The sequence below is a fragment of the Homo sapiens genome, chromosome 4 (assembly GCF_000001405.40).
Source record: "Homo sapiens chromosome 4, GRCh38.p14 Primary Assembly".
Lineage (NCBI taxonomy): Eukaryota > Metazoa > Chordata > Mammalia > Primates > Hominidae > Homo > Homo sapiens.
Genome location: NC_000004.12, coordinates 150210555 through 150233033, shown reverse-complemented (window position 1 = coordinate 150233033; position 22479 = coordinate 150210555). Strand labels below are relative to the sequence as shown.

General features: G+C 40.9%; 1 protein-coding gene across 13 annotated transcripts in view; it reads right to left on the bottom strand.

Annotated features, from left to right (window-relative positions):
* Positions 1-22479, bottom strand: part of DCLK2 (doublecortin like kinase 2) — a 178994-nt gene that overhangs the window by 24405 nt on the left and 132110 nt on the right. For 5 of the 13 annotated variants that reach the window (XR_007096380.1, XM_017007832.3, NM_001040261.5 and 2 more), the window contains 5 exons: positions 12256-12331; positions 11249-11357; positions 8476-8533; positions 578-697; positions 206-352 (listed from right to left, as the gene is read on the bottom strand). Coding sequence is in view for 11 of the 13 variants with exons in the window: in XM_017007832.3 (XP_016863321.1) it covers positions 206-352; positions 578-697; positions 8476-8533; positions 11249-11357; positions 12256-12331 (510 nt within the window). In the remaining 2 variants the exon portion in view is untranslated. Of the gene's footprint in view, positions 1-205; positions 353-577; positions 698-8475; positions 8534-11248; positions 11358-12255; positions 12332-22479 lie in introns of those variants that run through there. The other 8 variants (NR_036614.2, XM_005262785.4, NM_001410852.1 and 5 more) reach the window with 4 other exon arrangements.

The window sequence follows — 22479 nt, the reverse complement described above, 5'->3', positions numbered from 1 at the left end:
ATAGCAGAGTGGTAAATAACAAATGCAGAAAAATTCAAGAACTCCATTAGTATTTGATGGTCATTGACATAAGTCTTGCTAATTTTCTAAATTTAAAGTCTCATAATGTAGGATTGGTATAGACTATAAAATGCCATTATTTGCATGTGCTCCTTTTAAAGGAAGAGAGGCATTCATTGGAACAGAAAAAGCAGGGATGACATACCAAGAGATTCTCTGGTTTGATGTCTCTGTGCACGATGCTGAGGCCATGGAGATACCTGAGGGCATTGGCTAAGTTGTACACCATGGCACTGCCATCTCTCTCAGTGTACTTGGTCGACGAAGTAATTGCATCAAAGAGATCTCCACCCTAAACGATACATAAAAGAACATATCAAAGCATCAACAGTGCAATCCTATGAAGGTAAGAAAGATGGCTCATTGGCATAAAGCAGAGAATGACACAAGTGCCACTAAAATCGGCGATTATAAATAATGAAAGTTATGAGGTAGCAATACACTTTTCTGATTAGGTCCTTCAAGGATGTTGTAAATTGTGGGACTAGGCACCAAGAAAATCTCTCTATCCTCTTACTTTGACCAATTCCATCACCAGAAAGAGCTCAGTTGCTGTTTCCATCTCCTCGACCAGCATAATGATATTGGGATGTTTCACTCGGCGCAGTATTGACACTTCATTCTCAATCAGGTGTTCCTGTCAAATGAACGGTATAGAGAGGAGATCAGAAATCACAGAACCCTCTGCTCTCGAAGGCCTGGAGGACAGCAAAACAAACACAGCCTGTGGATCTGATGCCAAAGAAAGCATTGCTCTTGGCACAAAGACAACTAAACCTGACCTAATTGTCCCTGTAGGGACAGGGTCAGTGTGAACATATTATTGACATTACCAAAAAGATACAGACTCCTAAACATCCCCCAAAAGGCTCCATGGTGCTTCTGTGGTGTATTAAGCATACTGTCTTCTCGCTTGTCATTATTTCTAACACCTTAAGAGGTTGTGATGCTATGAAAGCTTCAGCACACAGCTCTGTGCTTTGTAATTCAGCCAGAGCCACTTTTTGATTTCGGTATACACTCACAAATAAAGACTAGGCATATAAGAAAACTTGGCATGCTTATGAAATCTAACTTCTGGCATTAAGCATTTTTAGTTTTTAAACTGTTACTAACATGAATTTGAATTTCATGCTGAAATTTATGAAAAAAAGAACTTTCTTCCTCTATGACTGGATATGAAATCATTCACCAGATGGATGTTCTTTAACATCTTGTATTTCAGAAATCTGAAAACATACAGAACCACGGGGACCACTATTCTCATTTTAGCTCTAATCACTCTCCTCTGAAAACACCACCTGATTATCAATCCTGGTGAGTAACACAGTTGGGATCAGCACTGTAGCAAAATGTTTACTTACAGAATTAACGAATTATTCTTAATACGTCAACCCATGAATCATGAACAATGATTGCTGTGTTTTAAATGAGACATTAAGACCTCTCAACATGTGTACATGTATTTTTACACATGGATGCATGAAGCTAAGAGCCACCTCACCCTTTTGGACAATAGCTGGAAATAGAAATTATAACAAATGAATAAATAACATGTGGAGAAAAATCTGTTTCAAGCTCCTGCACATGGTAGGTTGTGTTTCTTGAGCACTGAATGCACTGTGCTTGTCCAAGCAGTCACTCAATAAATCTTAGCGAGTGACAGTGCAAATTTGCTAAACAGAAGTATGGGAAAGAAAGAAACCAACATTTACTAGGAATCTAGTCACTGTTTGTTAGTAGCTGTGTAAGGTACTTGTGTAATGTTTGAACACTTTATCCTTGGAAACAGTCACTGGAGGTTGAATGTAAACTAGGTTTCTGACATCCAAGCCCATCTTTCTTATACACACATTATCACCTTCCAAAGGGGAAGAATTCAGTAAATGCCAAGTTGGAATTCTTCAAAATAAAAATTATAGCTGTAAGCTGAAAATATTTAATTCCTTAAAAAGATAAGAGCATGCAGTAGCACCACACTGATTTGGGGGTTAAGAATCACACCAGGGTTTGTGCAAGGAGGAGAATCTATGCTTCTTTTAATGAACAGGGCTAGGAAGTCTTTGACTGGCTCAGGACTCAACAAACGCTTCAAAATCTGAAGAATGGTGTTTCTTAGACCCCAGTAAACCACAGCTGGGAAGTCAAGAACAGGGTCTCCTATCTGTCTCCAAGCCCATCTGTCTAAGTTACAGAGCAGCAGACAGAGCCCCGTTTCCTCCCTTGGGAAGCAGCTGTACAGCCAGCCCCTCATGGTTGCAAAGACAAAAGACTTGGCAAACCCTCTCCATTGATTCACATATTTTGAAGCTTTTGGATCATCTGCACCAAGCATATCCTCAATCACACTAAAAAGCAGGGTTAGATACACTTTTGTGAACATGTATAAGCAAGCACATCAATTTATTTCCCTCCGTGTGAAGCAAAGACAACAGTTGCTACTGTCATTAAATAGGTTTTTTATTTTAAAGCTAAATGAATCTATCACTTCAATTCTCCTTCCTGCTCCTCATTTTACCCAAAGTTAGAAGAGTCTATATATTCGCCTCTCCCTGGGGGCTGTGTTTGTGTTGCTAATTTAGTGATATCTGTAAGATAATCCCCTCACCAGTACCCCAAGAATCTCTCTCAAATTGAAGTAAATAAGATATCTACCACATAAGGAGACTACAACTCCCAAAAGTTATTATCTTTTTCAATAAAAGGCACAACAGAAGGTCTTCTGGGATACATTGTGGAACTTCTCCTAAGGGCCATCAGCAGTGTTACCTTTCAAATACTGCAGCAACATTTCCTCCACCACTTATTAGCCTACTGAATTCTACTTGACAATGGCTAATATTCTAAGCACAGAGTGAATGTTTTTGTTAAAACATGGGAGCTGTTAGCCTTTCTCAACCTCTTGCTGTCCCTGTAAAATTGTCTATGAAGGAACAATCCACTTTTGAAACTAATCATCATCAGAAGCAAAATAAAGTACTGCATAAAAATCGTTACAAACGTTATCTATTTCTTGTGCAACCTGTATGTAGTCTTTGTTTCTAATATGTAAAAAATGCTCTCTAGACTAAATTTTCCAAGAGAATATTTCTAAATATAATATGAATATCTCTTTTGTCTTGAGCCATACTGAACTTACATTATTCAATTATCTACCATTATATATGTTAAGTGATTCATGATTCTAACTCCAAATAATTTACATATGAATCATTTCATGGCAGTGTTCCACAGTTCTGAGTGAGAGTAAATGACAAAACTGCTAACTTGGCAAAGGACACTGCCTTATCTTTGGACATGGTGATTTTTAACGTACAAAGAGAGAGGAATGGGGGGGTATAATAGGAGACAAAACAACTCTCTCAAACCAGACTAATCATCTTGTCTCAACCCATCCCAGCCCATAAAGCAGTCCTTTCCTCTGTGTTCTCCATCTTATTCAACAAACCTGGCTGTCCCAAGCAGAAACAGGAATTGCACCGATTCCTCCTTTCGGGTGGATAATATACCCACAATCACCAATGTCTGCCCATTTACCTCCTTGGTGGCCTCTGAATCCATCCATTCATCCATTCAGTTCTCTCTGTTCCTCTTGCCAATCCCTTACCTAGACTTCTAGGCATTTGCACAGGTAGTTTTCTTTTTTTGAGAAGAGGCTCACTCTGTCACCCAAGCTGGAATGCAGTGGTGTGATCCCAGCTCACTGCAACCTCAACCTCCCAGGCTCAAGCAATCTTCCCGCCTCAGCCTCCTGAGTAGCTGGGACCACAGGTGTGCACCCAGTTAATTATTTTTTTGCAGAAATGGGGTCTCACTATATTGCCAGGGCTGGTCTCGAACTCCTGGGCTCAAGGAATCCTCCCACCTCAGCCTCCCAAAGTGCTGGGATTACAGGCATGAGCCACCATTCCAGCCATAGTTTTTTTTTTTGTTTTTTTTTTGAGACGGAGTCTCGCTCTGTTGCCCAGGCCGGACTGCGGACTGCAGTGGCGCAATCTCGGCTCACTGCAAGCTCCGCTTCCCGGGTTCACGCCATTCTCCTGCCTCAGCCTCCCGAGTAGCTGGGACTACAGGCGCCCGCCACCGCGCCTGGCTAATTTTTTGTATTTTTAGTAGAGACGGGGTTTCACCTTGTTAGCCAGGATGGTCTCGATCTCCTGACCTCATGATCCACCCGCCTCGGCCTCCCAAAGTGCTGGGATTACAGGCGTGAGCCACCGCGCCCGGCCCCAGCCATAGTTTTATCTGGAACTTTCTTTATCTACTTCTTGGCAAACTCCTATATACTTCTCGGGACCAGATTAGATCTCTCCTCTTCTAAGTCACCTCCCCTGCTCACTCACAGCTGGGTCAGGTAGTCCTCTCACCTGCTCTCATAGCCCCGAATCACAGCTCTCATCCCACCATCTTTCAACTGTTTGTGTGCTGGTCTCTAACCCTCTGGAACTGAGAGCTTGTGGAGGTTTTGGTTACCTCACTCTCCAGCAACTAGCACAGTTACTAACAAACAGTAGGTACCAAAGTGTTCACGTGAAGGAGTAGACACATCACGCACTGTGCTGCCCACAATGGCTTCACAGCTGGTGTCTGTGTTGCTCGGAGCACACTGCTGAGGAGAAAGTGGTGAGAGAGAGAAAATGTACAAATCACCACGTGATTTCTGTGATAAATATACGCAACAGACTGAATAATGGATACACAAAGACATCAAGTCCTAATCCCTGCAACTTGCAAATATTACCTTACTTGGGAAAAGAGTTCTGCAGATGTGATGAAGGGTTCTGCAGTGGAGAGATAACCCTGGATTGTGGCGGGGAGAGGGTTAAATGCCACTACAAATGTTCCTAGAGAAGCACAGGGAAGTTTCACACAGACAGAGAAGAAGGCAGCGTGAAGACGGAGGCAGAGACTGGTGGGATATGATCACAACCCAAGAATACTGCTGGTCACTGGATGCTTGCAGGCAAGGAACAGATTCTCCCCAAAACCCCCAAAGGAAGCATGGATTTCGGACTCTCAGCCTCCTGAACTGTGAAGAGAGTAATTTTTAGGTGTTTTAAGCCACCAAGTTTGTGGTAATTTATTCCCACAGCCTGGGGAAACGAATACTTCCAAATACACTTCTGGATTTATGTCCTGCCTGGGCCCATGTAGATGATGAATGCAAAACTGTATACAGTAGGAAGACAAAGAAGGACCACTTCTAAGCACCAGAACAGAAAGCTCAGAGCTTTGTACACTGTGGGAATTCAATAGATATTTATTTAGCATGAAAGAGAATATTAGAACTGGAAGAATTCTTAAATTTATAAATACCATAGCATTCTCAAAAGCCTCTATAAATCTGGCCCCAACGCAGCTCTTGTAATAATCTCCTACTTAGAAGGGCCCAACGTGCTTTCTGTCCTCTGGGCCTTTGCTCAGACTGTTCTCACCACCTGGTAGACCGCTCTTTGATTGCTGCCTACTGAAACCCTCCCTACCCACTGTTCCTGCTCCAGCCCAAATGCTTCTTCCTCTATAGCATCTTCACTGGTCACCTACTTCTCTCCCACGTGCTTCCCCTGAACTCCAACATTCTTTGCAGAACTGGTATTAATTTATACATCACCCTATTCTTAGCACAGTGTCTTGCAGACAGAATATGCACCAAAATTTAGGTGAATACATGAATCTAACAATGCCTGTGTATATTAAGGATGAACAAACAGAAGGTGAGGGAGAGTAAGAATGTTTCCCAAGTTTGTATTACCTGAAGAAATGAATAAATTGAACTTAGAGAGGGAACACAGTAGATCAGCCAATGTACAGGCTGTGTAACCAAACAGCCCAAAATTCCAGTCACAGGTCAGTCTCTGTGTGACTTTTTTGGAAGCTATTTAATCTGAGTCTGTTTCCTTATCTGTAAAACTGGCGCATCTGTTTTGCAAGTCATTAAAGGTAATGTGCAAAGTTCCTATATATCCAAGCCTGGATAAATAATACATTTTAACAAATAGCAGATATTATTTTCAGCATTATTAATTTTCTGTATATAGCAGAGGTGGCCAACACTCCAAAACAGTGACTGAATACCACCCCCTCAAATTAACAAAAATTCTCTATATAATTTTTTTCTAAAAATAAAATGTAATGGGAAAAATCAACTTATTTGTAACTAATCAAGTTTTAAAATTATAATTTTGTATAGTCTTAATGTGGAAATAGTTGTTTAGATAAGCAAAATGTAAAAGTGGAAAAATATTTGATCATGCATTATAAAAATAGAATGACATTCACAGACTAGAAAAAATAAGATTCAAATGTTAGAACTGACTTATCCATTTGCCTCAGCCCTTAGTGTAAATTTTTTGCATACAAAGACCTTTTTTTTCCAACCATGGAAACAGCTGTTTAAATTTTAATCACGTAAACCATATCCTTACCATAGCACCTTTTTATTTTTTTTTTACTGTTTTGAAAAAATTTTTAATGTAGTTCTACAGAACCTGGCTCACCAAATTATGATACGTTCTGCTTAAATCACACACCACCACATCGAAAGCAGAACCCTTACATGTATGGAGAAAAGGCTATTACAGTGAAAAACATTAGTAATATCGCTAGAACAATAAGTAAAAGCATATCAAATTATTTAAAGAAAATTAAGCAAAAGAAAACCTTATTCAAAGGAAAAGGGGCATTTTGCACAGTCTATGCAGTCTATGCTTCAGTAATTATCACAGTGTGGTTAAAAAAAAAAAAAAAAGTAAATGACAAATTTGCCTCCTGGATTTTCCATTCTGGAGTTCTGAGAAGATTTTTCTAAACCATTCGAGCAGAATATTTTACATTTCCTGTTAAAAATACACTATTTTGTAGAAGTCCAATGAAGACCAGTTTAGGGGTTCCATAACTATAAAATGACAACTATCAGATCAAATCCTGCTAATTATAAATTCTAAACTCCTCTGGCATATTAATAATGTTAGCAGTTAACATGTGTTGAATTCTTATTATATACTAGCACTTCTCTGTTTTCCATGGCTTAATTCAACCAATTTTCACAATAATCTTATGTTCTAGGTGTCGATAATAACCACATTTTAAAGGAAGAAATAGAGGGGTTAAATAAATTTTCCAAGAAGAGGCAGGGCCAGGAATACACTTTATAGAATCTGGCTCTAGAGCAGCAGTGTCCAGCATAAATATACACCATGATCCATATACGTAATTCTAACCAAGAACCACATTAAAAAGCAAGGTTTTTAAAATTATAACTTAATATATCCAAATATTTTCATTTCAACATGTGATCATATACAAAGATATTAATGAGGTATTTCACATTCTTTTTTTAGTACTAAGTCTTCAAAATCTGGTGTGTATTTTATACTTAGCAGCCTATTTCAATCCAGACTCGCTACATTCAAGTGCTTTGTAGCTGTACGTGACTGGTAGCTCTGGTGTTGAACGATGTAGCTCTACAGCTTGTTCTCTTAATTGATGTGTTACCACAATGGAATCTAAAAAGGTCTTTGTCATTGCTGCAACGGAATATTTATTTTTTCAAACATAGTTAAAGTATCAGTAACTGCAGCAGCATTTTATTGGTTGATCTTTTCCCAACCCCAGTTAGAGAGTGGGACAGAAGGAAAAAAGTTTATCTTATTGAGGAGATGATTCTTCACAGCATTTCTGCTCATGATGCATCAGCTTCTGTTCCAAACTATCTTTCCAAGGATGTTTGTCCAGGAAACACCCTTGGAACACAAAGATGAGTCTCCCTTACGGGCAAACGGCAGATGTGTTTCCTGACCAGGATAATGAAAATAATATTCTCCTCTGAGGCAAAGACTGGGCAGCATTGCTAGCACCTCCTCCTAAGACTGAGGGTTTCCTAAGCTCAGAGTTCCCCAGCTATGACATAAACCCACTGTGTGTAAATCATCCAGCTGGGCTCCTCAGCCTCACCACTATGGGACTTGGGAGTTAAGGGGAACCAATGCAAGCATGAAGCTCATGCTACCTGCTGTGTCAGGAATAACAAATCCTTTTGTCTCTGACTCAGAAATCTTGTGTTCTGCTGGCCTGTATGAAGCTGGAAGGCTTTGTTAGCTTGCAAGTAAAGTCCCAGGTCCCTCAGAGTTCTTGACGCACCTTTTGAGTATTGTTGGGTGTTAAAATAGGTATCTCCCAGAGAAAAGAATCTACGTTTTCTAGTTAGGACCAAGATCAAATCAATTTACTGTTTTAGGATTAAAGTTTCTGAAAAATAGCAGGAATAAAACCGCTTAACTGTTTTTCCCACTATTACTGGTCTCTACTCCTGCTGTGATAGTTGTGTCAAGTCCCCACTTAAATTCCTTCATCACAGTAAACACCTCACCAAGTTACTCTAGTTTCTTTCAGAACTAGGGGTTATGCATACTATACCTTTCCACAACATTTGGCTTTGTCTATAATCTTTAGGGCAAACTCCTTTCCAGTGGACCTATGGAATAATCAGAGGAAGACCATTTAAAGACATAAATTAAATACCATCATTCCTGTTTTCTTTCTTTTTTATACTTTAATTTTTTTTTTTTTTGTAGAGATGAGATCTCATTATGTTGCCCAGGTTGGTCTTGAACTCCTGGGCTCAACTGATCCTCCTGTCTCAGCCTCCCAAAGTGTTGGGATTACAGGCGTGAGCCACCACACCTGGCCCATTCCTGTTGTATTCTACAGCACAGACCCAGGAAGGAAAAACTTGGCTCTTTCTCTGTGCATTAAAGAAAATATCTAGTGGAGTCAGGGGACAAAGGTACCCAAAAAATTAAAAACAAAAACAAAGCCATACTGTATGTTAATTAAATATTCTTTCATAAATATTAACTATAATATTAAGAAACTCATATTTAAAGTATTTCAATTCTGTTACATCAGGGAGAGGCAGGAAATAGTTTTTCTATATGTAAATCTCAAAATAGTTCTCTTAGGAGACAGAATAAAGTTTTAAAAAACCAAATTAACAGAAAATTTTATTATCAATATATTTTTACATTAGTCCATTAACAACATTAGCCCATAATTCAAAAGTGAAAAGTCCCCTGACTTTCATTATTTCTCAGCCAAAACTTCAGCTAGGATCTGATCTGGTACCAAGTTAGTCACATCTTTAAATGTTCTTTCCTGGCACTAGAGAGATCATTCGCATGGATATAAGAATCTTGATGTTATTTATTTATTTATTTATTTATTTATTTATTGAGAGAGAGTCTTGCTCTGTCAGCCAGGCTGGAGTGCAATGGCGCAATCTTGGCTCACTGCATCCTCCGCCTCCCAGGTTCAAGCAATTCTGTCGCCTCAGCCTCCCAAGGAGCTGGGATTACAGGCACCTGCCAACACCACTGGGCTAATTTTTGTATTTTTAGTAGAGATGGGTTTCACCATGTTGGCCAGGCTGGTCTTGAACTCCTGACCTCAGGTGATTCTCCCGCCTCGGCCTCCCAAAGTGCTGGGATTACAGGCGTGAGCCACTGTGTCCAGCCATTATTTAATTTTTAATCACCTTTAAAATAATTTAATTTTAACATGCCAAAAATGTCTTTGAGTATAGAAAAAGCATTCAATAAAGAACACCACAGTACTCATAGAATACACTTGTTATCTCAAGTGCAGCTGGATTTGCCAGGTGGTTGTAGTACACACTCATGAGGCCTGGCTTGGAAGAATCACTTGTCCTTAAATTGTTCTCCCTATAACAAAAACTAAATCCTGCCTCAGATTTCTGACTAGTCTTTAAAAGTCATACTTTAGATGCTTACTTTGTTACTTAGGTGGCAGTCTGTGTATAAGAACTGGGTAAAAGGACTCAGAGAACAAGGCATTATCTTGTGTACCAATATAAGGAGTACTAAAGCTTCACTGGAGATGTAACAAAACAGAAAAACTGTAGTTACCAAAACTTTCTGGAAAAATCTCCAGAAATGATAAAAATTATCACTTAGAATGGGAAGGATAGCAGCCTATAAACACCAAGACTCTAATCTGAACCAAGACTCTGAGTCTTTTCTGGTTTGAATATTGTTTATAAAAAATCTGGAATAGGCAAAAGTAGGCTGATTGTGATTTTTTTTTTTTTTTTGAGACACAGTCTTGGTCTGTTGCCCAGGCTGAAGTGCAATGGCACGATCTCGGCTCACCGCAACCTCTGCCTTCCAGCTTCAAGTGATTCTCGTGCCTCAGCTTCCCGAGTAGCTGGGACTTCAGGCGTGTGCCACCCAACCTGGAATTTTTTTTGTTTTTTTTTTTGTTTGTCTTGTTTTTTGTAGAGATGGGGTTTCACCATGGTGGCTGGGCTGGTCTTGAACTCCTGGCCTCATGTAATCCACACACCTCAGCCTCCCAAAGTGCTGGGATTACAGGTGTGAGCTAGCCACCAGGCCTGGCCTGATTGTGATCTTAAACAGAGTCAGAGCTCATATGTCCTGAACTACTGGAATATTCCATTAAGTATTAACTGAGAGGGAGGATTGCTGTAGGGATTAAGCGATTTAATACAAGTACAGACTGAGAACAATGCCTGACACCGGTAAATATAGGAGATGTTCTTAAAAATGACTTATTCTTCTCATTCCTCTCTGGCTCATGATGAGACCTTATATATATCTCATCCCAAATGCACATAAAACAGTTTTATACTCTATGTATATACATAATATTTTTTTCCTGTGGGCATGCAAAATGGCTGATCCCTGCTGGATACAGTCACTCATGCCTGTAATTCCAGCACTTCAGTAGGCCAAGACAGGAGGACTGTTTGAAGCAAGGAGCCTAGGACCAGCCTGGCAACAAAGCAAGACCCTGTCTCTATTAAAAATTTAAAAATTAGCTGGGAGGCTGAGGTGGGAGAATCACTGGCACCCTGCAGATTGAGGCTGCAGTGAACTATGATGGTGCCACTGCACTCTAGCCTGGGTAACAGAGTGAGACCCTGCCTTTTTTTTAAATAAATAAATAAATAAATAAATAAACAAACAAACAAACAACAAAAGGAAAGAAATGGCTGGTCCCAAGGGCAGACTCAGGGAAAATGAAAGAGACTTTCCAGAAGGGCCTTTTTAAAATTAAGAATAAACTCCAAGGAAAACTGTATCTGTAGATGATACAGTTTTCATTATTTATCATTTTCATTATTCATTAATTATCCTCACTGTCCACTCACCTGTCTATACACTCTTTGACTACTGCAAAATTGCCATCACCAATGACCTTTCCAATTTTGTATTTCTCAAGAAGAGTTGATGATTCAGAGCATCTGTTTCCATTCACACCTGCAAAAAGGATAAATGCAAATTCTAAAGAAAACATCAGCATTTTATACAGATTCCTACATATTTGTAAAATAGTAAACTGCGATGCATTTATTTCTAAATCTATGGTGAAACTAAATAAAATATCTGCACACATTTCCTGAATAGAACACCTGAATCACCAATTTCCTTTTAACTTCGTTGGTTGAAATCAGAAACCTATAATCAATAAACCTAACAAATCCCTGAGATATCAGGTGAAATAAGTGATTAGCCTTAGGTAAAAAGGATATTTCACTAAAACTTATCCAAACTTTTTTGTCGATGTTCAAGAAAGGGGCAGGGGATATAAGATGATAGAAAAAGAAAAAAAAAAAAAACAAAGAAAGGAGAAGAGGATGGTGGTGGGAATTTAATCTTCAAAATGTCCAAGATTTCTCTTCAACATTTTCTAGTAGAGAAAATTCTACCCAGATAAGATAGATGCCTTGTTAAGGCTAATTCCTGGCTCAAAGCTTTCTCAAAAAGGTATGTGGGGGAAGGGTTAAGATCTGCCCACTTCTCACTACATGTCCCAGTGTCCAGCACACAGAAGACACCAAATCAAGAAAACACAGTTTTGTTATCTAATTGAGAGAAAGGAAATATATTTAGAAGTTGTGATCAGATCACCACAAAAATAAAAGAAGCCCAAGTCTAAAATCTGAAGCTTCAATAACCTAGTTAATGACAATGAGATTTTTCTTTATCTTGAAGTAACCCCCATCCCCGCCTCTTACTAAGGCCAAAGGGGCTGACAGGTGATGTGATCACATCCCTCTTTAGGAAGATCGTAATTTAGCACAAGTGAGTTTTAGGTGAGCACCAAGTCCCCATGCATGATTTCCTTTATCAAAGTAATGATCAGACTGAGAACTACCTTCAGGACTTATGCAACGGTCAAGCTCAGGTCCACCGTTTACATTGGAAGAAGATCTGCCATGAGCAGAAATCTGCTGAAAGAGGAGAATGACCATTATTTATCAGGATAATTTACAAATCCCTAGCTAACTAATCCGTTGACACACAAAATGCTTACAGAATGTAAAAATGTGTCACAGAAACCGAGGAGGCGTTCCCTTTCTTCTCATCTCACCTCTCTCCTTATGCACATCACATCAGTGCATTTCTTCCTTAGATATTTCATTCAGATTAGACATAAGAAAAATCATCAGTTACCTTTTTTTGAAATTATGTTATTTTTTACTTCCATAAAAGGAATCAAAAGACTCTATGGCATGATAGCTGGATAAGATAGTTATTAGTGGCACAATAAGGCTTAGAACTATAGATAATTCTAATGGTTCCAGGCTAACCATGTGACTCCTAGGAGTTTAATCATTTTATTTCCTCATGATAAATGACAACTGATGGACAACTGCAATTTTTCAAAATTTAATTTTTTTGTTGTTCTGTTTAATTTTCAGCTGCTAAAGTTGAAGGCAACTCCAAATCGACAGCACTCTATGGCAGAATGTTTAAAAAGCTACAGTGTTTAAAAACAAGGTCCAGAGAAGGGACATAAAAGGAAAGCCTAAAAGAAAATCATACCATTCTCTATTCCATTCCCCACCCACGGCCACCACCCTGGTCCAAGTCCTTCTCCGGCTTCACTTGGCATTGCATCAAAGGCCTCTTTAGTCACTCTCAGTCTCTCCCATTCCACATAGTATTGCCAGAGAAATTTTTCCTAAGAGTAGCTGGGATATCACCTCCAGGATTCAAAAACCCCAGTGTGTCTTTGTTACCAACATAATAACTCCAAAATCTTCAGCATGGCATTCGGGCCATGATCTGTCCCCCTACCTACTTGTCTAATGTGTTTCCCACCACTTGTTCTGATGCGTTTTATACTTACAATAATTCAATTTGCTTTTATCTTTCAAAAGTTACTTAAACTTTCCAAGTCTTCATTTTCTCCCCTAAAAATGGAGGTAGTAACAGTGCCCAACTCAAAGATTTGCTAGAGAATAAAAATTAGCTTATCCCTGTAAAATCACTTTGTCTCTGACACGTAACACTAACTCAATATTAGTTTATCAGTGCCTTTTCTTAAATCATCTAGCACAGAACCTTGAAATGAGTGATTAAGAATGTGGGCTTGGTGCGGTGGTGCACACCTATAATCCCAGCACTTTGGGAGGCCGTGACGGGTGGATCACCTGAGGTGAAGAGTTTGAGACCAGCCTGACCAACATGGTGAGACCCCGTCTCTACTGAAAATACAAAATCGCCCAGGCGTGGTGACACATGACTGTAATCCCAGCTACCTGGGAGGCATAAGAATCGCTTGAACTGGGAGGTGGAGGTTGCAGTGAGCTGAGATCGTACCACTGTGCTCCAGCATAGGCAACAAGAGCGAAACTCCTTCTTAAAAAAAAAAAAAAAAAAAAAAAAAAAGAATGTTTGTGAACTGTTGAATGTAAATGGCCATAAGAGACCTTTTGCTAAATAAAAGACAGGGTCTCATTCTGTTGCCCAGGCTGGAGTGCAGTGATGCAATCTTGGCTCACTGCAATCTCCACCTCCCAGGCTCAAGGGATCCTCCCACCTCAGTCTCCCAAGTAGCTGGGACTACAGGTATACGCCATCACACCCAGCTAATTTTTGCATTTTTCGTAGAGACAGGGTCTCACTGTGTTTCCCAGGCTGGTCTCGAACTCCTGGGCTTAAGCCATCTGCCTGCCTCAGCCTCCCAAAGTGCTGGGATTACAGGCGTGCACCACCATTTGGCCTGGCCAGCCAAATTCTTAATAGGAATAAAAATATGAACATGATTTTTCTGGAAAGTTGTATCTCAGAAGATAAAAAGATCTCTGCTAATCACTGCCTGCCCCAGAATAAAGTAACAGGGGAGGTGGAAAATCAATGGTCAGGAAGCATGGTGGACAGTGACCAGTGGACTCACATGTCTTAAATCTCACAGCCCAGGGCAACGCAGCCCCACATGGTCAGGCCACAGGCAGCTGGGTCAGGCATGGTGGGCAGGAACCACCGCCTCTCCCAGCACTTAGGCCTCAGGACTTTGAGCAGAGTGCAGGTCCCCACACTCACAGCTGAGGTCCTAAGACCTGTACCTGGGTCCCTGCTCTCCATGAAGCCTGCTTGTTCATCTGTCCTGGAAGCAGGTAATGGTCCTACAACAAGTCCCTTTCTTGAGCTAATTTGGGTAAGCACTGGTTTACTGCAAGCTGATGTGTTGTCTGAGTGAAGGACACTCATCACATCAGGAGGGGCTGAAACACAGGCATTTCTACTTCAATGTACATTTTCATGTGGATCAGTAACTAATCGAAGTGTTTATCAGTTGAGCTCCTGTGAACCATTGTAATTTTCCCAATGTTTATTTGATTAAACCTTCACTCCCACCCTACCCTGATCCCCTATATAGCTCAGCAATTACAAACCTGGCATATGTTGGGATTTGCGGGTGACATGGAGCAGGGAAAGAGACCAGGAAACAGGACAAGTGATGGAAGCCTGGTCTCCAGTGACTAAAAGAGAGTGGCACCTAGGCTGAAGCCTTGAGCCTCAGAAGGAACAGGGGGCCTCGTTGTGGGGGGAGGGGGGGCGGGGGAGGAGAGAGAGAGCGAGAGAGAGAGCGAGAGTGAGAGCGAGCAACAGCGAGCATGGCATGGGGCCAAGCGAAGGGCCACTTTCAAGTGTACCTAACAAAGCCTCCACTAAACACCAGGAAATGCAGCTTCTTAGCAAACAATAAGGGCAAGGACATTTTTCAAAGCTGTCAAATTAATATTTTTTAAAAGGTGTTAAGCCTCAAGCATTAAAACAAACAATTATGTAGCGTTAACAGGGATGACTTATCCAATTACTTAACCAAATATGTTTGTTTATTTGAAAATAAGCCTTTCCTAAAGAGAAGAAAAAAGCATGAAAAAATAAAGGGGATAGTTTTATTATAGTGCAGCTGAACAGAGAAACATAATTAGACACAGACAATTTTCTTTCTCCCTCTTCACTCCTCAGTAAAATCTACAGCAATGACTTGTGCTGTTTTAAGGGATAAGAAGATGAAGACACATCATTATTACTGCTCAGATGTTTACAACCTTATGAGGAGGGATAGGTGCACCTAAGCTTAATACCTTCAGTGAAACCTCTGCATTTCAGGATAGGTGCTGACGGTTACAAATGACTCTGAAGAGCCGTGAGAGGGAGCCATTTTGCTACAGCACAAATCTGAGCTTGTGTTTGAATCGCTCAGCTAGTGATTCAGTTCATTGGACCTCCCACTAATGAAGCTTGGCTTTCCAGAGGTAGAAGAAAAGCTGAGTATTCAGTAAGATCTCTGGACAGATCACTGGCAACTGTGAAGCATCTATTGTTAAATATAAGGCAAAGCATTCCCAGTGCCCTGAGAGACATGCAGACAAAGAGCAATGAAAACAGAGGAAATAAAGCTGTGACTTTGCAAAATTCTCATCATTTCCTTTGCAAAATGTGTATATTCCCTTGTCTCCTGTAAATGAATTACTCTCTTACTGAAGCAAGAATTGAATTAGTACCAGAGAGATCAAATATGGCATTCAAGATTAAACCCGTCCCATTTCTATTGTCAAACTAACAATTTCTATTAAAATCTCTTAAAATGCTAATGAGCATTCCTGCTTCCATCAGCAACTATGATGCTGAGACAGCACAAAGAAAGTGCCTAGATGCTGTATGCTAGTAGGGTCCTCCTCAACAAAGCATAATGGATGGCAGCATTTACGGTTTTTCAGGATGCCATTCATAATTGCCAACTGGTTCAGAAAGACAGCATTGTATTTAACAGTGGCAAGGGGGCGGGGGATATATTTCCTAATGAGGTCCTGATTCTGCTTGGCCAAGGAGGGAAGGTGACAGAAGAGAACCGTGAAGATGTTGCTGAGTGTCTTCTCTGGGATCTGGTGCCCCTGCACCACCTCGTCACTTCTCTGGCAGCAGTGGCTCCATTTTTATGAATAAGCAAGGAAGGGAAATGTGCAAGAATCCTCTTCTGCTAATAACTTTTTTTTTTGAGACGGAGTCTCACTTTGTCACCCAGGCTGGAGTGTAGCGGCACAATCTCGGCTCACTGCAACCTCCGCCTCCCGGGTTCAAGCGATTCTCCTGCCTCAGCCTCCTGGGTAGCTGAGATTACAAGCACCCGCCACCACGCCCGACTAATTTTTTAAATTTTTGGTAGAGACAGGGTTTCACCATTTTGGCCAGGCTGGTCTCGAACTCCTGACCTCAAGAGATCCCCTGCCTTGGCCTCCCAAAGTGCTGGGATTACAGGCATGAGCCGCTGCACCGAGCTGCTGAGAACTTTTTAAAAAAGACTTGAAAACAGAGCAGAAGATGCTTTACAATGCTCTCAACTGCTAGCATCATTTAAAGGCATTCATGGCTGATGAAGGACATCTGATGATGAGCAACACTCCAGTTTTCTGTTTTTAGCCAGGGAGTTATGTCAGAGGGTCCTATGGTAAACTTCTTTGATAAGCAGATTACCAAAATTTCTTCAAATTTGAAATTTAAGGAGAAATGTTAAGAACTGTTCTCTGTTCTGAAATAGGCAAGTCTCAAAAAAAAGTAGCAAGAGTGGTTACTTACTGCATTATGGCATATTATTGTTGACTTGAGTATAATGCTAGCTACCCTTGTGCTATACTGGTTTTCATCCATGTTCCTGGCTCATTAACTTCCACAGTCCTTGTTATAATGTTGGGATGCTTTAGGCCTCAGAAAACAATCTCTCTGACCTTCTCCTGCCCTCCTTTCACCTGCCTAAAGCAGGACTCTAATCTGACTGCAGTCATAAGACTGTCATTCCAGAGGAGGTCCTGCCCCATACCCTGAAGCCAGGAATGCTCTATAAAGAGGCTAAGAAAAAACAGAACAAACCGGCTTTGCTGGGCTTAGATCATACCCCTTTTTGTCCAGTCATATTTCTACAGGGTTGTCAATCATGCCTATGTAATGAAGCCTCCATAAAAATCCAAAAAGACAGGGTTAGGAACGCTTCTGGATAGCTGAGTATGTGGACGTTTCTGGAGGGTGGCATGCCCAGGGAGGCCATGGAAGCTATGCATGCCTTCCCCCATACCTCGCCCTATGCATATCTTCATCTGTATCCTTTGTAACATAATATCCTTTATAATAAATTAGTAAACACTTCCCTGAGTACAGTGAAGTGTTCAGTGAAATGCAAATTAATCAAACCCAAAGAGGGGTCATGGGAACTCCAACTTGAAGCTGGTCATTCACAAGTTCCAGAGGCCCAGACTTGCCACTGGTGTCTGAAGAAGGGGGTAGTTTTGGGGAATGGGCCCTCAACCTATGGGATCTGATGCTACCTCCAGGTAGATAGCATCAGAATTGAATTGGGAGGACACCCACCTAGTGTCTGCTATAGAACTGATTGTTCACTTGGTGGTGGAACGAAACTCATCCCCCACATTTGGTCACAAAAGTCTTCTTCTGTGCTTATTGTTTTTTTTGGTGTCAGAGCAGAATAAAAACATGGTTTGAGAAAGATTTTCCTTAATATTTCATTTTTTTTAATAAAAGGACAAACTTGAACAGAATCTAGGAAATATTTCTCTGTACTGAGTTGACTTTCTTGAATGCATTTTGGAAAATGGCATCACAATTCAAGTGGTAAATGGTCTATAAGTGTCAAGTCAGAAACATTTTCTTTCTTTTTTTTTTTTTTTTTTTGAGACACTCTGTCACCCAGGGTGGAGTGCAGTGGCACGATCTCTGCTCACTGCAACCTCTGCCTCCCAGGTGCAAGTGATTCTCCTGCCTTGGCCTCCCGAGTAGCTGGGATTACAGGCGTGTGCCACCACGCCTGGCTAATTTTTGTATTTTTAGTAGAGATGGGGTTTCATCATGTTGGCCAGGCTGGTCTTGAACTCTTGACCCCAAGTGATCCACCCACCTTGGCCTCCCAAAGTGCTGAGTTTACAGGTGTGAGCCATCGTGCCCGGCAGGTCAGAAACATTTTCTATGAAAGACCAGAAAGTAATATTTTAGGCTTCATGGGTCACAGGTTCTCTGTGGCAACTCTTTGGCTCTGCTGCTGGAGTATGAAAACGGCCATATATGAACAGATGAGCATGGATATGTTCCAATAACATTTATTCAGAAAAACAGGTGATTGGCTGAATTTGGCCAGCAGGCAAACTCCTGGTGAGCAAGAACTTTCTTAGGAAAGCTTTTCCTCCAAGATAATTCTTGCACTTTTAAACTCTAAAACAGAACAACCTTTAGGATATGGTTGTTGCTATAAAGCAGCCATTCTTTCCTCACATCTTAGAATCACATAGGAAGATTTCAAAAATTCTATTGTCAATCTGAATCCCAAGTTGATTAAAGAATCTCAGGTATCAGGATTTTTTAAAAGGTCTGCAGATGATCCAACATGCAGCCAAGGTTGAGAACATCTGTGGATGAAGTTTCTGGCAGCAATTTTAATTAACTGTTCAGCTACCATAATCTGTGTAAGTTCACTCTGTCACTCTAACCACTGCAAGTCATCTATAGCCAAACAATCTTGTCTTTGTAAGAAAAGGAAGGAGGACACCCACATGGTTTACTGAATCCTACTTTGTACCAAGTCATGAAGTGAGTATTTTGCATTGAATGAGTTAGGTATGGTCATCATCTCCATTGACCTGTGAAGAAATCAGAGCTTAGAGAGGTTATATAACTTGCCCATCACCACAGCAAATGTGGAATCAGAATCCAAACCCAGGGCTGACTCCAGAGCCCAAGAGCTTCTTGGCGATTCTCACACTGTCCTATCCTCTAAGTTTATGAGAAAAGTCCTGCAAGGCTATTGAACCAACTAAAGGAAGTCACCTAATTCTAGACTTGCTGATCAAAATATACACTATGGTATATCTAGAACATGTTTTATGATTATATAACTAGAGTAACATTCCTGTAATTCAGTCATATGATACACAAATTGATAAATTCACAGCCTTTCCTCAAATAGAATTTAAGATAAATTTTTTCTTTAAAAAGGTAACTTCTGAAGTTTACTGAATTTTTTTTTAAAAAAAAATACACTAGATAGTACTTGTAAATAGATTTGCATCATTGGCATTTTTGTGGGTTTTTTCAACATTAGGAACATTGTTTCCACTAACTAGAATAAAATCCAGTGTAAAGTATTATAAATGCTGAATTAGGAATGTATCCAAGAACAGAAACCTTTATTATTTTCATATTGGATTTCTGATAATTTGAAATACTTCAGTATGAGATATGAAAACAATCGGAATCAGCACCCAGAGGGTGGTAACACAGGCTGCATGCTTAGATTTGGTTTCGTTTGGCAAAAACAGTGGCACTTAAGACTTGTGGTTGGTTAACAGTGTTAAATAGAATCCACTGCCTGAACATGAATATGGCTTAAAACAACAGCCATCTCTACAGTCTATCAAAGGGGCAGTGTGGAGCCCAACTTCTGCTTTCCTGTTCTTCCAAATACAGAAACCACCACAGGTGACTACATGGCTTGCCAAAACCAGCAGAGAATCTCATCGCACCCCTCTGAGTAAGCCTTTCGAGTAAGGTGTTGGCTTACTGGATTGTGACCAACAGACAGGTGGTGTGACCATGCCTACTTGCTAAAAATACCTGCATGCTTTCACTGTGAGGTTTCACTGATTTCTAGGATGCCAGGGTGATGAGAGAGGTGTCTGCCTCTTCTGTTATAACTATGGAGGCTACTACAAGCAGCCACAATGACAATCTCTAAGTCTTTAACTCCATCCAGTTACCTATAATGCACTACCAAGAAGAATTTCTGGGCCCACTTTCATGAATAATGGGGCATTTAAGTTTAACACATATGCCAGTTGTATTCAAATGAAATTCTTACAATTGATCCTATTTATACACTGATTTACTTGGTAAACCCTCCCTGCATCCTCAGAAAGATAGGCTTCAGCCCAGGTGAGTCATTTACTTCCCAAGTGCACCAGATTTGACTGAGCAACTACAATGTGCAAATCACTGTCCTCAAAGTGTGAGATGCATTATGACTTATTTTGTTAGGGCACTTCAAAACTGCTTAGCCCCTCTTTTGGTTTTTGTTCTACAAAATCAATTATATGGAAAGATGAAGTCACCATCCATCTCTGGAGTAATGAGAAGTGGTCAGTTTCTTAGTATTGAAGGTTATCAACTAGTCTTAATTACAAAAGAAAAGCCAAAGCTCCAGGGAAAAGCAAAAATGTCTAAGGTCAGCAGCTACTGTGGATTTACATTTCACAGCTTCGAAAAGAAGTGTTCAAGTTCAGAAGGTCGAAGAGTTACATTTTAGCTCTGCCAGTCAGGATGAGATACTACCAGCCCTTTCATCACACTTCACAAATCTGGAAAATCTTTCACCACCAGCAGACCCAGGAGACATCATCAGATAAAATATCAGCACATCAGACAGTTCATAATCTCAAGATGTTGGATAATGTTCCAAATGTACTTTTTTCTTCCTTCTTTCAACCGGCAAGAATGCTCACAGCAGAGAGCCTCCAGGCATACACTTCAGCATCAAAACACGAAACATTTTATCCCTCAGTGTCCACAGATGTGCTGTGACTCTGAAGCCTGAAGTTACTATTGCCTTAAAAGTCTTAAACTGGAACATGAATGATGAATTAAAGTTCAGGGAAATGCTTTCTTCATCCATCTGGTAGCTGATGACACATTTACTACTCTTTATTGCCTATCTGTCCCAAAGAAAATGCTGTGATTTAAGCATAGCAAATATTCCTATGGGAAAAGTTATCAGCTAGATTGAAGAGACTCTGAGGAACTTGCACAGAGGGAACAGAAGATCATAGGTTGGGGTCAAGCAGAAAAATGGAGAATCAGGAAGACGAGCATTAAAAGAAGCAAACGAGGTCCACAGGGGTGGGATTCTAGGATTTGAAGAGAAGGAAAAAGAATGAGTAGGGAGTCAGCAGTCTGACGAACAAAAGGACTGGAAGGAGAACAAAGCAATAAAATTGATGGGGTGAGACTCTGGCAGCCCTCAAAAAAGAGGATGGACAGGAAGGTTGGAAAGGACAGGATGAGGAAGCCAGACCAGCCCAGGGCAGAAATTTTGAGTGGCTGATAAAGAGATGAAAATGGAGAGAAGGCTGGTGTGACTGCCAGACTCCACAATAGCCCTCATGAGCCCCAGCTCCCGTTTCTCATGCCCTTGTGATGTCTCTCCCCATGCTGAGTTGGGCTGGTGTGTGACCACCAAGATATTATGGAAGAGATGGGGTCTGGCTTCCAAGGCTAGGTCACAGAATGGACAGCTTCTGTATGGCACTCTCTCTCTCTCTCTCTCTCTTATCACTTGGTTCTGGGGAAAGCCACCTGCTGTGTTCTGAGGAAACTCAAGCCAACTTACAGAGAGGTCCACATGGCGAGTAACCGAGGCCTTCTGCCAACAGCCAGCACCAGCTTGCCAGCAAGTGAATGAGTGACTACAGAGGGGGATCCTCCATTCCCAGTCAAGCCTTCAGGCGGCTACAGCCCTGGGACGCGTCTTGACTGCAACCTCATGAGAGATCTTGAGCCAGAACCACCCAGTTAAGCTGCTCCTGAATTTCTGACCCGTAAAAACTGTGTGTGAAAATAAATTTTCTACTTCTTTTGTTTTAAGCTGCTAAATTTTGGGATAACCTTTTTCTTTCTTTCTTTTTTTTTTTTTTTGAGACAGAGTCTTGCTCTTGTCACCCAGGCTGGAGTGCAATGGCGCAATCTCCGCTCACTGCAACCTCTGCCTCCTGGGTTCAAGTGATTCTCCTGCCTCAGCCTCCCAGGTAGCTGGGACTATGGGCACATGCCACCACACCCAGCAAGTTTTTCTATTTTTAGTAGAGATAGGGTTTCACCATTTTGGCCAGGCTGGTCTCAAACTCCTGACCTCAGGTGATCCACCCACCTCGGCCTCCCAAAGTGCTAGGATTAAAGGCGTGAGCGACTGTGCCTTGCCAGAATAACCTTTTTTCTTTTTTTCCTGGAGACAGAGGCTCGCTCTGTTGCCCAAGCTGGAGTGCAGTGGTGCGATCTCAGCTCAATGCAACCTCCGCCTCCCAGATTCAAG